The following is a 16,037-nucleotide window of genomic DNA, read 5'->3' as shown; positions in this document are numbered from 1 at the left end:
TATTTTAACCTGGGGCGGGGAACCCTTCCTTTTTTTGCCCTTTTGAAAATAAGGTAGATTTCTTCAGATGTGGAAAGTATCAATGGTCAATCCAATAGCTTTTCGTTATTTTATTTTTTTATTTTTGGAGGCAAAGTCTCACTCTGTTACCCTGGCTGGAGTGCAGTAGTGCAATCTGGGCTCATTGCAACATTTGCCTCCTAGGTTCAAGCAAGTCTCCTGCCTCAGCCTCCCGAGTAGCTGGGACTACAGGCGTATGCCACCACGCTTGGCTAATTTTTGTATTTTTAGTAGAGACAGGTTTTGCCATGTTGGCCAGGCTCGTCTCAAACTCCTGACCTCGTGATCCACCTGCCTCGGCCTCCCAGTGCTACCATTACAGGCGGAGCCACCACACCTGGCTCACTTTGTGGCATATTTCTAGAAGTTAAAAAACTCACCTGACAAAAGAGATACTTTGTGGCCAGGCACGGTGGCTCACTCCTGTAATCCCAGCACTTTGGGAGGCTGAAGTGGGTGGATCACTTCACGTCAGGAGTTCGAGACCAGCCTGGCGAAAATGGTAAAACCCCCGTCTCTACTAAAAATACAAAAATTAGCCAGGTGTGGTGGCAGGCACCTGTAATCCCAGCTACTTGGGAGGCTGAGACAGGAGAATTGCTTGAACCTGGGAGGTGGAGGTTTCAGCGAGACGAGATCGTGCCATTGCACTCCAGCCTGGGTGAGGACAGTGAAACTCCATCTCCCAAAAAACAAAAAAAAAAAAAAAAAAGAGAGAGAGAGAGAGAAACTTTATGATTTACTCCATGGAACAAATATCATATAGAACTGTAACATTTAAAAGTCAGATTTCTGTTTCTAAACTTTAGGTTTATACCTCTTGGCAGATGACTAGATGATTCTTTCCCCATTCCAAGAGTAACAGATATTCAGCCAACTTGTGTGTGTGTTTATCACATGTGATTCCACATTTCAGTTTGTTTCTCTATATTTTTTGTATTTTAAATTGGACAAGTATTACTTTTATAATAAGAAAAAAGATAATTACTAAAAATAAATGAGAAATACATATACATGTAGAATTTGCATAGTGTCAAGTAAATGATAAGGGTAGAAAGAGTGCAGAGAAAAAAAGGATGAAAACGAAGGTGGCTGAAGAATGCTTTGTGACGGAGGTGGGATTGAAATGAGCTTTGAAAGGCCGGGTGCAGTGGCTCACACCTGTAATCCCAGTAATTTGGGAGGCTGCGGCGGGCGGATCACCTGAGGTCAGGAGTTTGAGACCAGCCTGGCCAACATGGTGAAACTCCGTCTCTACTAAAAATACAAAAATTAACCAGGTGTGGTGGCAGGCGCCTGTAATCCCAGCTACTCTGGAGGCTGAGGCAGGAGAATCGCTCGAACCTGGGAGGTGGAGGTTGTAGTGAACCGAAATCACGCCACTGCACTCCAGCCTGGGCAACAAAGCGAGACTCCGTCTCAAAAAACAAAACAACAACAAAAAACGAAACACCGAAATGGGCTTTGAAGAATGGAAGGGATGCAGATAAAAGAGAGGAGGGCGCAGAGCGGTTTGGTCGTTCGTTGGACCAGTGTCGGTTCTTCGCTCGCGACTGCGGCTCTTCCTCGGGCAGCGGAAGCAGCGCGGAGGTCGGAGAAGTGGCCTAAAACTTCGGCGTTGGGTGAAAGAAAATGGCCCGAACCAAGCAGACTGCTCGTAAATCCACCGGTGGGAAAGCCCCCCGCAAACAGCTGGCCACGAAAGCTGCCAGGAAAAGCACCCCCTCTACCTGCGGGGTGAAGCCTCATCGCTACAGGCCTGGGACCGTGGCGCTTCGAGAGATTCGTCGTTATCAGAAGTCGACCGAGCTGCTCATCCGGAAGCTGCCCTTCCAGAGGTTGGTGAGGGAGATCGCGCAGGATTTCAACACTGACCTGAGGTTTCAGAGCGCAGCCGTCGGTGCGCTGCAGGAGGCTAGCGAAGCGTACCTGGTGGGTCTGTTGGAAGATACTAACCTGTGTGCCATCCACGCTAAGAGAGTCACCATCATGCCCAAAGACATCCAGTTGGCTCGCCGGATACGGGGAGAGAGAGCTTAAGTGAAGGCAGTTTTTATGGCATTTTGTAGTAAATTCTGTAAAATACTTTGGTTTAATTGGTGACTTTTTTTGTAAGAAATTGTTTATATGTTGCATTTGTACTTAAGTCATTCCATCTTTCACTCAGGATGAATGCGAAAAGTGACTGTTTACAGACCTCAGTGATGTCAGCACTGTTGCTCAGGAGTGACAAGTTGTTAATATGCAAAACGGATGCGTGATATTTCTTGCTTCTCATGATGCATGTTTCTGTATGTTAATGACTTGTTGGGTAGCTATTAAGGTACTAGAATTGATAAATGTGTACAACAGGGTCCTTTTGCAATAAAACTGGTTATGACTTGATCCAAGTGTTTAACAATTGGGGCTGTTAAGTCTGACCATACATCACTGTGATAGAATGTAGGCTTTTTCAAGGGTGAAGATACAAACCTTAACCACAGTGTAACTTATAGTTTCCTTTAAAAAAAAAAAATTAAACCTGGCAGCTATAGAATACAATATGTGCATTTATAATAGCTATTTTATATATTGTAGTGTCAACATTTTCAAATTAAATGTTTTACATTCACAAGTGGTGGGGAGTCTTGTCATTAAGGTGTGTGTAATTTAGAGTCCAGTTGGTTTTCTTCTGACTGCACTTGTTCTCATAGTAGTAAAATGCTATGTGCATTTATACCTTGCATAAATCCTCATTCTACCACATGTTAACTAACCCTCTAGCTGATAATGGAAACACTAACTGGGGGATTTTATTTATAAGGGCTCTAGAAAAAAATATGAGTTATTCACACCAGCATCATCTGTTAACTAATATTCTGAACTAGTGCAGCTTTTCATTGTGTTGTGTGGTTGGTCTCATAACTAGGTTGAGTTTTCTCCTCTGCTAAGAGGAAACAGTACTGAAGTTCTTTTTCTTGTGGCATTTGTATTATAAAAACTTGGTGTAGGGGAGGAGCACAAAGCTCTAGCCCACTGAACCTCTGCCGGTTAAGATGGTGTTAGGTTAGGTTACATCTGGTTACTGTCCTGGGAAAATCATTTTTATAGAGATGGCCTTCCAAGTGGTTTTAAAATTTATCTTATTGAAGTTTTTAGGTCAATTATGTATGTTGACTAAATTTACAAATAAACTTGTTTATCCAAAAAAAAAAAAAGAGAGGAAAAGAATCAGAAATATTGGAGAGTAGAAATGCAACAGAAGAGAACTATAAAGTTTATGTTGGGGGAAAACAATTAGTTTGTCTCAAGTGTAGTATTTACGCAAAGGAGAAAACTTTAGGGATGTAGGGCCCACATTGTAAAGAGCTTGGAATTAGGATTTAAGGAATTTTATACTCTATCCTGCAAAATTCACAGACAAATTTGAGAACTGACTAGCATTTTAACTTGCAAAAAAAGACAAGTTAGTACAGAACTAGCACATCTAATTTTTAAAAAAGTATTTGAACTATAACATGGTGAAATCCCGTCTCTATTAAAAATACAAAAATTAGCTGGATGTGGTGGTGGGCGCCTGTAATCCCAGCTACTGTCAAGGCTGAGGCAGGAGAATTGCCTGAACCCAGGAAGTGGAGGTTGCAGTGAGCCGAAATCGCACCATTGCACTCCAGCCTGGGTGTCAAGAGCAAGACTGTCTAAAAAAAAAAAAAATCACAAAGTCAGGAGATAGCTCAGATTGTTATATATTAGTCAACAATTCTGATTGGATAACTTTGGGGTCAGTCTTGATAAAAAGAAAAACAGTATGTTTCTGTCTTTTGCATAAAAAATAACTTCACGGCTTATCTTGGAATTCAAAGCTTTTGAAATATTTCTGGTTTTCGTGGCTTATCTTAGAGTGCAAAGCTTTTAGGAATGTCAGCCTTTTCCAGACTATGGTACAGGATGGGCTTGATTAGTCGATATAGTGGGCATGATATTCGTTTTACAGACTAGAGTTCACACTAAATGGCCATAGGCTCCCATAGGGCCACCAGGTAGAGTTGTGCAGATTGTATAGGCTGTGCACTGCACAACTTTTTATGTTATGTGCACAGTGCCCTCTGGAGTTATAAAATGCAAAGTCGGCTGGACGTGGTGGCTCTCGCCTGCAATCCCAGCACTTTGGGAGGCCGAGGCAGGCAGATCACAAGGTCAGGAGTTCGAGACCAGCCTGGCCAACATGGTGAAACCCCATCTCTACTAAAATACAAAAATTAGCTGGGCGTGGTGGCATGCGCCTGTCATCCCAGCTACTCAGGAGGCTGAGGCAGGAGAATCGTTTGAACCCAGGAGGTGGAGGTTGCAGTGAGCCGAGATCGTGCCATTGCACTCCAGCCTGGGAGACAGAGCAAGACTCTGTCTCAGAAAAAAAAAAAAAAAAAAAAGCAAAGTCTACTCAGCCATACCTGGAAGCCTAGACGCCAGGCAGGTAACACAAATCAGTGAAACCTGGGGCCCTTTGAAAGGATTCCAGCAAATTTAAAAATAATGGTCAGAGCACTGTGGAGTTGTAGAAAAACAAATTTGCAGACTATGTTCAGCCTTGGAGCTCAAGTTTGGGACCTCTGCCATATAAGGTAGAGGCAGTCAATATTTTTGTCAAGGTAATGATGCAAAGAGATATGTAAAATAGATTACCATAGAGAAAAGAGGCTACAAAGAAATAAAAAAGTCAGAAAAGTACTTCAATAATCTGGGCTGAGGAAACAGGGGCCTGGCCGGGCCAGAACTATGTGGATAGACATAGAAAGAAAAGAATTAGTAGAATTTAGTGATCAGATTCAGGTTTGATTCTGAACCAAATCAATTCAGACTTGATTTCTCATAAGACAAAAAAAAAAAAAAAAGAAAGGGAGACCAGAGTAATGCAAGGTTTTGAACTTGGGTCCTTAGGAAAATACCTGGAAGAAAAATATTTACCTTGGAAATAATTTCAGATTAAAAAATAATCTTTTGACCGGGTGTGGTGGCTCACGCCTGTAATCCCGGCACTTTGGGAGGCCGAGGCAGGCAGATCATGAGGTCAGGAGATGGAGACCATCCTGGCTAACATGGTGAAACCCCGTCTCTACCAAAAACACAAAAAATCAGCTGGGCGTGGTGGCGGATGCCTGTAGTCCCAGCTACTCGGGAGGCCAAGGCAGTAGAATGGTGTGAACTCATGAGGCGGAGCTTGTAGTGAGCCAAGATCGCACCACTGCACTCCAGCCTGGTCAACAGAGTGAGACTCAGTCTCAAAAAAAAAAAAAAAAAAAAAAAACTTTTAGGATAGGATAGTAAAAATCATGTTTTGAAAGCTTATGTAATGCTGGCCGGGCACGGTGGCTCACGCATGTTGGGAGGCTGAGGCAGGCGGATCACTTGAGGTCAGGAGTTCGAGACCAACCTGGCCAACATGGCGAAACCTTATCTCTACTAAAAATACAAAAATTAGCCAGGCTTGGTAGTGGGCGCCTGTAATCCTAGCTACTGGGGAGGCTGAGGCAGGAGAATCACTTGAACCTGGGAGGCAGAGGCTGCAGTGAGCAGAGATCGAGCCACTACACTCCAGCCTGGGCAATAAAGTGAGACACCATCTTAAAAAAAAAGAAAAAAGCGCTGGGAGCAGTGGCTCACCTCTGTAATCCCAGCACTTTGGGAGGCCGAGGTGGGCGGATCATGAGGTCAGGAGATCGGGACCATCCTGGCTAACACAGTGAAATCCCATCTCTACTAAAAATACAAAAAATTAGCCGGATGTGGTGGCGGGCACCTGTAGTCCCAGCTACTCGGGAGGCTGAGGCGGGAGAATGGCGTGAACCCAGGCGGCGGAGCTTGCAGTGAGCCGAGATTGTGCCACTGCACTCCAGACTGGGTGACAGAGTGAGACTCTGTCTCAAAAAAAAAAAAAGAAAAGAAAAAAGCTTATGTAATGCTATGGCACTGCTCATAATAAAAAAAATGTGAGAAAAAAGCAGACAAGAGGAAGACAAAAATTGGAAAAAAAACTATGCAAAAACATTAACAAAATGTTATCCTCAGCAATGTGATTGTAAGTTATAAAAATTTTCTTCCTTGTACTATGTTTCCAAACTTTCTACAATGAATGTTATATTTAAAAATAGAAAAAAATACTTTTAAAGATCCTAGAGGCTTCCCTTTTACAGAAACCATAAATTCAACCTTCATTATTTTGTTTTTGTGGTAACCATTTGTGACAGTAAGTGCTAACAGGCTTGGCTTTTTGGTTTTGGAAAAATTGGTCCTTGTGTACTAAATAGAAAGTCCTTGTAATCTCGAGGAGATAAAGATTTAATGTTGCCTAGTGATACAGATTTGTTTTAGGCATTATTTTCTTATTCAAAAACTAACTTCAATTGTTTTAATGATTTTTAGAAAAGATGGTTTTCCTTTTTTTTTTTTTTTGAGATGGAGTCTCGCTCTGTCGCCCAGGCTGGAGTGCAGTGGCGTGATCTTGGCTCACTGCAACCTCCACCCCCCGGGTTCAAGCAATTCTGTGCCTCAGCCTCCCAAGTAGCTGGGATTACAGGCACCTGCCACCATGCCCAGCTAATTTTTGTATTTTTAGTAGAGATGGGGTTTCACCATCTCTGCCAGGCTGGTCTTGAACTTCTGATCTCGTGATCTACCCTCCTCGGCTTCCCAAGACGCTGGGATTACAGGTGTGAGCCACTGCGCCCGGCCTCTTTTTTTGGAATTAGCTGTTAGCCCTTCCCAAGTTGTATTCATAGCTTAAAGCCTATCTAAGCTTTTGCCAAGAACATAAAGATTTAAGCAAAACGGAATGATAACAGTATTATTCTGTTTAAGGCCGGGCATGGTGGCTCACATCTGTAATCCCAGCACTTTAGGAGGCTGAGGTGATTGGATCATCTGAGGTCAGGAGTTCCAGATCAGCCTAGCCAACATGGTGAAATCCCATCTCTACTAAAATATAAAAATTAGCTGGGTGTGGTGGTGCATGCCTGTAATCCCAGCTACTCGGGAGGCTGAGGCGGGAGAATGGCGTGAACCCAGGCGGCGGAGGCTGAGACATGAGAATCACTTGAAAAGGAGGCAGAGGTTGCAGTGAGCCAAGATCGCGCCACTGCACTCCAGCTTGGGTGAGAGTGAGACTCTGTCTCAAAAAAGAAAAAAAAAAAGAAAAGAAAAAAGAAAAAATTCTGCTTATAGCAGTGTAAAGTTTTAAAAGATGGCTTCACATAGGCCTGGCACAGTGGCTCATGCCTATAATCCCAGCACTTTGGGAGGCTGAGGCGAGTGGATCACCTGAGGTCAGGAGTTCGAGACCAGGCTGACCAACATGGTGAAACCCTGCATCTACTAAAAATACAAAATTAGCTGGACATGATGGCGCATGCCTGTAATCCCAGATATTCGGGAGGCTGAGGCAGAAGAATTGCTTGAACCAGGGAGGTGGAGATTGCAGTAAGCCAAGATCGTGCCATTGCACTCCAGCCTGGACAAGAGTGAAACTCCATCTAAAAAAAAAAAATGGCTTCACATATATTTGATGCCAGGCTCATTTGACCTTTAAGAAGAAAAACAGGATGTAATTACAGCAGATTTTTTTCAGCTCTATTTTGTGGAGAAGACATTAAGGCTCACAGAGGTAAAGTCTCTTGCTCAGTATCACAGAGTTATCAAATGGTAAAGCAAGAATTTAAATCAAGGTCTTTCAAGTAGTACAATTTTTCTTACACACGATTAATTGAAAACCATGAGGACTGTCCTTGGCCCACAGGATTGGATCTCCTTGCTGTGCTGACAGCTGGATCTGTTCATCAACTCACCACCTTTGTCCAGCCCCATGACCTGGTCAAACCTCAGGCTATCAATGTGGTACAGCGGCTCCAGTACCCAGTAAAACCCAAAATACAACAAAGGAGAACAGAAGGTAGCTAACAACTCTAATTTCTTTAACGCGCATTTGGTATTTTAAACTTTGCACCATGGTTTCCACACAAGTCCTTCTTCAAAAGAATACAAGAGTCAAAGTCTGAGATAAATAATGAAAATTATAGAAAATTTTACAAGTTTGATGTAATAGTTCACATTCCACCAGCAGAATAATTTTTTCTGTGTGAAAATCTTGTACTTATCATAAATGGTTAAATTACGGGAGCACAGTTCCTGATAACCTGAAGCAGAACTTGAAGAATTAGCTTCAGTTCCACATGGTTACAGGCTCAAAATTAGTTTTCCCTTCATACTTCTTTTATATTATCCTATTTGGCAGTTATGCTCACTTGCTGCAGGAATTTCTCATTGTTCTGTGATCAGGGGTATTCATTTGTTTTAACTCATGCTATACAGTTCGTCATGCACACATGATTTTTACTTTGAATATAATTTTGGCTGGATACATTCTCACACTGTTCTTCACACATGCTTGGGTTTTTTGTATGTATCATTTTCTTCTGACAAGATGATTAACTTCTCATGTATACTGTTTGGGTATTTGTTTATACTTTTATGCTATTACCCATACTTCTTTGCTCAGTAAACCCTTCTTACTAGATAACTTGGATATACTAGCAAATAGCTCATTTATCACCCTACTAATCACTTTAAAAGCAGCATTGCTTTCTATAAAGTTAATACTAATGTCACATACAATAAATATTTATCAAATGAATGATTAAATGGATATCAGCTAAGAAAATAGGTATTATAGCCAACTTTGAGGATGTTACAAAAAGTAGGAAATTCTAATTTTATATATGTATTTATATATAAATATATACATTCATGTAAACATATATTTATTTAAAGACATATATTTAAATAAATATATGTATTTTGGAGAGAGGGAATTTTGCTATGTTGCCCAGGCTAGTCTTGAACTCCTGGCCTCAAGCAATCCTTCCACCTCAGCCTCCCTAAGTGCTGGGATGTTAGGCGTGAGCCACTACATCCAGCCTAAAATATTTTTTGATGAGCAATAAAAATGGCTTAAGTCTAGTTGTAACTTAGAATTTGAAATATTTTAAGATACCAAGCCTAAGCAATAAAGGGTAAACTTGAAGAACAAGATTTTACAAAAATGACCCTACATGGTAACTTCTCAGAGGAAGCAGTCTACCTTCCTGTTCAAAGCCAATCCCTCCTGTATTATCTATTTCTATATAACAAATTACCCAGACTTCACAGCTTAAAACAACAAATGTCTATTACCTCACACCATTTCGGATTTGAGGAATCTGGGAGCAACATGGCAGAGTGGTTCTGGCTCAGAATGTCTCATGAGAGTTACAGCCAGATGTCAACCAGGGCTGCCATTGTCTGAAGGCTTAACTGAACTGGAGGATTCCCTTCCAAGCTCCCTCACACGGTTGTTGGCAAGAAGCCTTAGTTCCTCACCATATGTGCTTCCCCACAGATGGCAGCTGGCTTCCCCCAGAGCAAATGATCAGGGAAGAGAGAGAAAGCAAGCGAAAGTCACCAAGACAGAAGCCACAGTATATTTTATAACCTAATCTCAGAAATGACATAGTGCCATTTCTGCCACATTCAATTAGTCACTCAGACCATTGTGGGAGGGGCTGACAAAAGGGCATGACTACCAGGAGGAAGGATCATTGGTGGCCATCTTGGAGGCTGACTACCAAACTTCCCTTGTATTCTTTATGATCTTCTCCCATCTCTTCAGGAACTTTGCTGCATCCATTACCCTCTTGCTCTTACAGTTTAACTAATTCCTCTTTACTAGTTCTCCTATCTTGGTTCTGGATACTCTGAAACTATATTCTGAGGTTTCACTCTATACTTCTTGTTTTCCTTGACTCTCTTTTGCCTTGACTAGTGTGACACCATTCTTCCCTGGCTTTTATCCACTGCTGACCTTCTTCCTTTAGCTCTCTATAAATGTTGGTATTTTTGACAATTTAGTCCTCATCTCTTTTTTCTTATTCTAAACACTCTCCCTTTCTTTTTCTATGTCATTGCCCTTAGCTGCCATCTGTATGCTGATGACTTCAAAATGCAAATTCCTAGATTTGTTCTCTTTTTTTAGTTCCATTATTATATCCAATTCCTTGCTCAAGAGTCTGAAAGTCCCACAGGTTTCCCAACTGATAGCTGTGTTGGTTCTGTTTGAGGGGATTGATTACTTCTGGGAGCTTTTGATTAGGAATAGAAACATTTTTTAATAACAGTATTCCAGGCCGGATGTGGTGGCTCATCCCTATAATCCTAACACTTTTGGAGGCTGAGGTGGGAGGATCACTTCGGGCCAGGAGTTCCAGACCAGTCTGGGCAACAGAGGGTGACTCCATCTCTACAAATAAATAAACGAACAAATATTTTAAAAAGTATGTAACTCCAAAATGAGTTGCATCTATTTGGTACAATCCCTAGGGCAAAGGCAAGATGGAATGTGGAAACAGCAAAAGTTTCCCTTTTTTTTCAGAGGACGCCACTGATATGTGCACCAAACCATTATTTATAGTTTTAGCTCATCATAAAAGCAGAAGGCTCACCCTAATTACCAGTTTATGCAGAAAATATAAAAGAGCTGCGCCCAGCCTCATAATCCACTTCTGTCTGCCAGCACCTTCTTCAGATACTTCATGGTGCCTATCCCAAGACTCAGAACCTTACCAAATCCACTCCTACGCAAATTGTTCAAGACCAACTCCTCCCTGGAATGCTCTAGATTTCAGACCTAAATTTCTCCTAAACCAATGTTATGAAACCAAGTTCTAAGAGCTGTGTCCCCCAGGGTGTCTCTAGCATAGACACTCTACATCCTGCAGCTATTGTCCCCACATTTCTATGATGTAACTGTGCTGTGAGCAAGAGTTCATAATGCAGTACAACATTTGCATATAATGCAATAATTATGCACTAAATATTATAATTATGGAATAACATCATTAGGCCCAATCACAAGCTACATGCAGCAGTAGCCTGCTCATACACATACAATATCAGAAACTGTTTTCACTTGCAAGTCGATATTGAAGCGGTAAAGTTTCCCTGTCCCCCTCGCAGAGCATGCAATGGGGGTGTGGCTCACTTCTTCAGTGCCTGGCTGCTCAGACCTCTAGGGGAGCATACAGACAGGCAGGCTGTGGGGCTCCGACCCCACGGCAGTGTCTAGGGGTGAATGTTTACGGCTCCTGAAGCCCCAGTGGGCATGTTACAGGATGCTTTTAGTTTACCGTCTTGTGTTAACCAGCTCAATTAGACCCTCTACCTTGTTGCAAGGACAGAGAGCTTTCTGTATCCCGGGTTCTTGCCTTGGTGTAGTGGAAGACTCGGATCACACGTGGACTTGGAAAATGAGTGCAAAGTTTTACTGAGCGGGAGCAGCTCTCAGCCGATGGAGGAGCCAGAAGGGAGATAGTCTTCCCCTGGAGTTGGGCCACTGGGCAGCCCTGGCTCTCCTCCGACTGTCCCGGCCAAACTGCACCTCCTCCCGCCTGCCGGTGGCGTCCCACCAGTCGATGGCCTGCCGACGTGCTGGTGCCTGCTGGTATGCTGGTGCCTGCTGATATGCTTTTCTCCTGGTGTGCTCCTTTCAACGACCAGCCACTTGCATCTTCTTCCACCAACGCCTTCCTCACAATGTCCAGCCACTGTGTCTGCCTGCCAGGGTCTCTGGTTTTTACAGGCCCAGGATGGGGGCGTGGCAGGCCAGGATGGTCTTGGGAAATGCAACATTTGGGCCGGAAATGCCTGTCCTCACCTAGGTCCGTGGGGGTGGAGCCCTAGGCAGGGACCACACCTTTCTCTATCCAGCACTTCCCTTCCTCCCTTTTGTATTGTTTAAAGGGACCACAATCTTCCCTTTCCAGCACTCCAGTATCAAAATGTATCCTTAATCAGGAACAAAACCTGATGTCAGGTGGATAGATGTTTCCTCTTATTCAAGCTATGAACCTTATTTTCACCAGTGAAATGATTGGCATTGAGATTGAGCACTCAGAACTTCTCCACATGCTTGAATCTCTAGAGCCTCAATGGTCAGGCTGATGAAATCATTTCTGTACTTCAAACCCATCTAAGTGGAAGAGGCTGCCTAGAAGCCAGTTAGTAGTGCCACAGTTCTAAAGTTTAAAACTGGTCGGGGACCACAAGAAGAAACACATTTCATCCAAGGAAACATCCCTCCCCTCCCCTGCCTTCCCCTCCCCTCCCCTCCGCTGCCCTACCCTGCCCTTCTTTTTTTCTTTCTTTCAACTATAGAGGTGAGGTCTCACTGTATTGCCCAGGTTGGTATCAAGCTCTTGGGCTCAAGCGATCCACCAGCCTCACCCAGTCAAAGTGCTGGGACTACAGATGTGTGCCACCACGCTCTGCTAGAAACGTGGGTTTCTAAACGTTAAAAATTTTCGGCCTGACGCGGTGGCTCAGGCGTGTAATCCCAGCACTTTGGGAGTCCGAGGCAGGCGGATCACCTGAGGTCAGGAGTTTGAGACCAACCTGGCCAACATGGTGAAACCCCGTCTCTACTAAAAATACAAAAATTAGCCAGGCGTGGTGTCAGGTGCCTGTAATCCCAGCTACTTGGGGAGGCTGAGACAGGAGAATCGCTTGAACCCAGGAGGTGGAGATTGCAGTGAGCCGAGATCGCGCCATTATGCTCCAGCCTAGGGGACAAGAGCGAGACTTCGTCTCAAAAAAAAAAAAAAAAAAAAATTCAGGGGACAGCCATGGTGGCTCACACCTGTAATCCCAGCACTTTGGGAAGCCAAGGCAGGCGGATCACTTGAGGTCAGGAGCTCAAGACCAGCTTGGCCAACATGGTGAGACCCCCCCATTTCTACTAAAAATACAAAATATTAGCCAGACATGGTGGTTTACACCTGTAATCCCAATTACTCGGGAGGCTGAGGCAGGAGAATAGCTTGAACCCAGGAGGTGGAGGTTGTAGTGAGCCGAGATTGCACCACTGCACTCCAGCCTGGGCAACAGAGCGAGAATCCATCTCAAATAGATAAATAAATAAATTTAAAAATAAATATAATAAAATTAATTTTTAAACAGGAAGAAAAATTGAAATATTTGTACTGAGAAAAATGCCATGTCCAACAAACTTAATGCTAGTCCTAGATTGTTTAGGTAGCTTTATAAAGGCAGGGAGGAAGGAAGGGAAAGAAAGAGGGTAAAAAGAAAAAATACATAAAGGAGGCCTCCTTATCCAGAAATCAATGAGAAAGGTTGGAGGCTTTGGTTCTGGATACCCCAAAACTATCTTTTCAAGTTGATCAACATTCTTTCATCTCATAGTGCTACTTTATATATATTGAGATTGCAGAAATTTATGGCTGATATGTTTGTAGTTTGGTATGTTGAGAATGCTTTCATAATTAAGACATACATACATTTTTTGTAGATGCATGTAATCTCGATGTTTGAACGTTTGAATGATTGACTGAAAAGAAGACACAAACAATTTCAAACAGTGTCTCTGGTACCAGGACAAACCAGGAACATTCTGATCCTAGAGTTGTTTAAACAAAGACTGGAGAGTACTGCCTTCTTTGGCGTACCAGAACCCACAGTAAAGTGGTAAATTACTGTGTAACCAGATGGGACCTTCAAGTCCAACACTATCAAATTATAAAGAAGAATTTCAGTAGCAGCTCGGATTACAACCTCACTCACTCCACTGAGCCACTCTGAGTATTGCAAAACACTTATAGGATGCAGGTATTGGTAAGGCGATTCTAATCAATGTCCTAATGTGTTTTTTCAAAAGTGTATTCTTGCAAACCTAGTTTTAAGACATCATGACCCTGGCATGAATCACAAGATCAAAAAAGCCTTCTGAGATTCTGCAAACATGGTATCTCTATCTCCTTGATGTTCACCTGTAACATTCCAGACAGGCTGTTGAGATTGAGGTAGAGATAGAGTGGGCAGCCTGAAGAAAATTGTAAATGTTTGTAAAACCCTCCGAGGGGATTTGGTGAAGCAGATGGCCCAGACCAAATAAAAAGACTGCCAAGCTGTGTTGGAGGTTCACCTGATTTTAGAGGGCATGGATTTATTGTGGCTATTGCATACTAGACCCCTTGAGTTTCTTTTCACATTTGCTCCTCATGACATCTTAATATGTAAATATAATTTTCCTGATTATGCAGGATTTAAATCACTAATACAAGCTGCCACCGCTAGTTAGGGTTTTGTAGTTGCAAACAACAGCAAATCACTTTTATCACAAGATAAAAGGGATTTCATTGGAAAAATATGTGGAAACAAGAGGGGCAAAACAAAGGGGGAGGTTAATGAACCAATATGTAAAAAACAAAACCAAAGCATTTCACAGGCCTCAGTAGTAGAAATGAATAGATTGATTATTTAGGACATAGCTGCCTGTATATTGCTTAATATCTTTGGATCACTCCACCCCAGAGTCCAATTCCAGAGAGAGGGGATGGTGGGGAGACACTGTCTGGCTTAGCTAGAGGCATATTCTTAGTTGGGGAGCTGCCTCCAAGACTGGAATACAGCATGGTGCAGATTAAGATGGTTTTGCCAAAGAAAGGAGGCTGGATAATGGTGAGCAAAAATGAGCATATGTCCACTGCAGATCACATATTTGTCAGATGTGAAACCTAATGTTATATGTTCTTTAGCTAGGTCTGTTGTCGTCTGGATGATTATAGCACAAGTGAAACAGAAGACTAAGAGATTTGAAGGCGTTAATGCTGGAAATAGTGATGGATAGTCACTATATTTCTGAGCTAGGGAAGAAAATGAGGCCAGAAGATAATTTGGAAACCAGGAGAACTGAGACAAGGTGGGTTTAAATCAAGTTTAGCTTAAAGCTGCCTTCTCACATGTTTAAGTTTGGCCTACAGGTTTTTCTGTACATCATGAACTGTAAAAAGTGGAGGTATACAGCCCACATCCGTGCCAATCACTGAGTTTTGGCCAATCAAATGTAGCCAAATGTTCAAACTGTGTTCAAGTAAGGCAAATGCCAAGCTGTAACCAATCCAGTTGTTTCTGTACTTCACTTCTGTTTTCTGTTCGTCACTTTCATTTTGCTGTCCATAAATCTTCTTCCACCAGGTAGCTACGCTGGATTCACTACGAATCTGCTGTGATTCTGGGGGTTGCCCTATTCGCAAATTGTTCATTGTTTAGCTAAACTTCTTTACATTTAACTCAGCTGAAGTTTTTTTCTTTTAACAGTGGTAAGAAATTTCTAAGAATCTTCTGAGATTTTTTTTTTTTTTTGAGACAGAGTCTCCCTCTTTTTGAGACATTGTTTCACCATGTTGGCCAGGCTGGACTCGAACTCCTGACCTCAAGTGATTCGCCTGCCTCGGCCTCCCAAAATGCTGGGATTACAGGAGTGAGCCATTATGCCTGGCCGAATCTTCTGAGATTATGCCAGAAATTATTATTATATTTTTTGAGATGGAGTTTCGCCCTTTTGCCCAGGCTGGAGTGAAGTGGCGTGATCTTGGCTTACTGCAACCTCTGTGCCCAGGTTCAAGCAATTCTCCTGCCTCAGCTTCCCAAGTAGCTGGGACTACAGGTGCCCACCACCACTCCTGGCTAATTTTTGTATTTTTAGTAGAGTTGGGGTTTCACCATGTTGGCCAGGCTGGTCTCGAACTCCTGACCTCAGGTGACCCACCCGCCTTGGCCTCCCAACGTGCTAGGATTACAGGCGTAAGCCACCATGCCCGGCCTATTATGCCAGAAATTCTATGATGTAAACCAAGCAAGAGGCATGCCATGAGAAATTGAGGTGCTATGAAGGGTCATCAAAGAGCAAATAAAGTTCCAATTGTGTTTTAGTTTCATGTATTTATTTATTTAAAATAGAACCAGGGCCGGGCGCGGTGGCTCATGTCTGTAATCCCAGCACTTTGGGAGGCCGAGGCAGGAGGATCACGAGGTCAGGAGATCAAGACCAGCCAGACCAACATGGTGAAACCCCGTCTGTACTAAAAATACAAAAAATTAGCTGGGCGTGGTAGCAGGCG

At 42.9% G+C, this 16,037-nt stretch overlaps 1 protein-coding gene and 1 long non-coding RNA gene across 3 annotated transcripts; both read left to right on the top strand.

Moving 5' to 3' along the window:
• The first annotated feature begins 1,560 nt into the window (after positions 1-1,560).
• Positions 1,561-2,674, top strand: H3-5 (H3.5 histone). Its single transcript, NM_001013699.3, has one exon. The coding sequence runs from the start codon at positions 1,693-1,695 to the stop codon at positions 2,098-2,100; it is 408 nt and encodes a 135-aa protein (NP_001013721.2). The 5' UTR covers positions 1,561-1,692; the 3' UTR covers positions 2,101-2,674.
• Positions 2,675-7,751: 5,077 nt separating this feature from the next.
• LOC107984470 (uncharacterized) lies at positions 7,752-14,797 on the top strand. 2 transcript variants are annotated; one of them, XR_001749064.3, is made up of 3 exons: positions 7,752-7,981; positions 13,427-13,743; positions 14,673-14,797. It is a non-coding gene; the product is annotated as an uncharacterized LOC107984470 (long non-coding RNA). The 2 variants fall into 2 exon arrangements; XR_001749065.3 differs by having other exon boundaries at positions 13,427-13,749.
• The last annotated feature ends 1,240 nt before the right edge of the window (positions 14,798-16,037 follow it).

Source organism: Homo sapiens, chromosome 12, assembly GCF_000001405.40.
Source record: "Homo sapiens chromosome 12, GRCh38.p14 Primary Assembly".
NCBI classification, from domain to species: Eukaryota; Metazoa; Chordata; class Mammalia; order Primates; family Hominidae; genus Homo; species Homo sapiens.
The sequence above is the reverse complement of the archived record's forward strand: the minus strand, read 5'-3'. Positions and strand labels throughout refer to the sequence as shown.

What these genes read in the sequence shown, in the direction of transcription:
- H3-5 (NM_001013699.3), top strand. Translation starts at nt 1,693, where the DNA reads ATGGCCCGAACCAAGCAGACTGCTCGTAAATCCACCGGTGGGAAAGCC.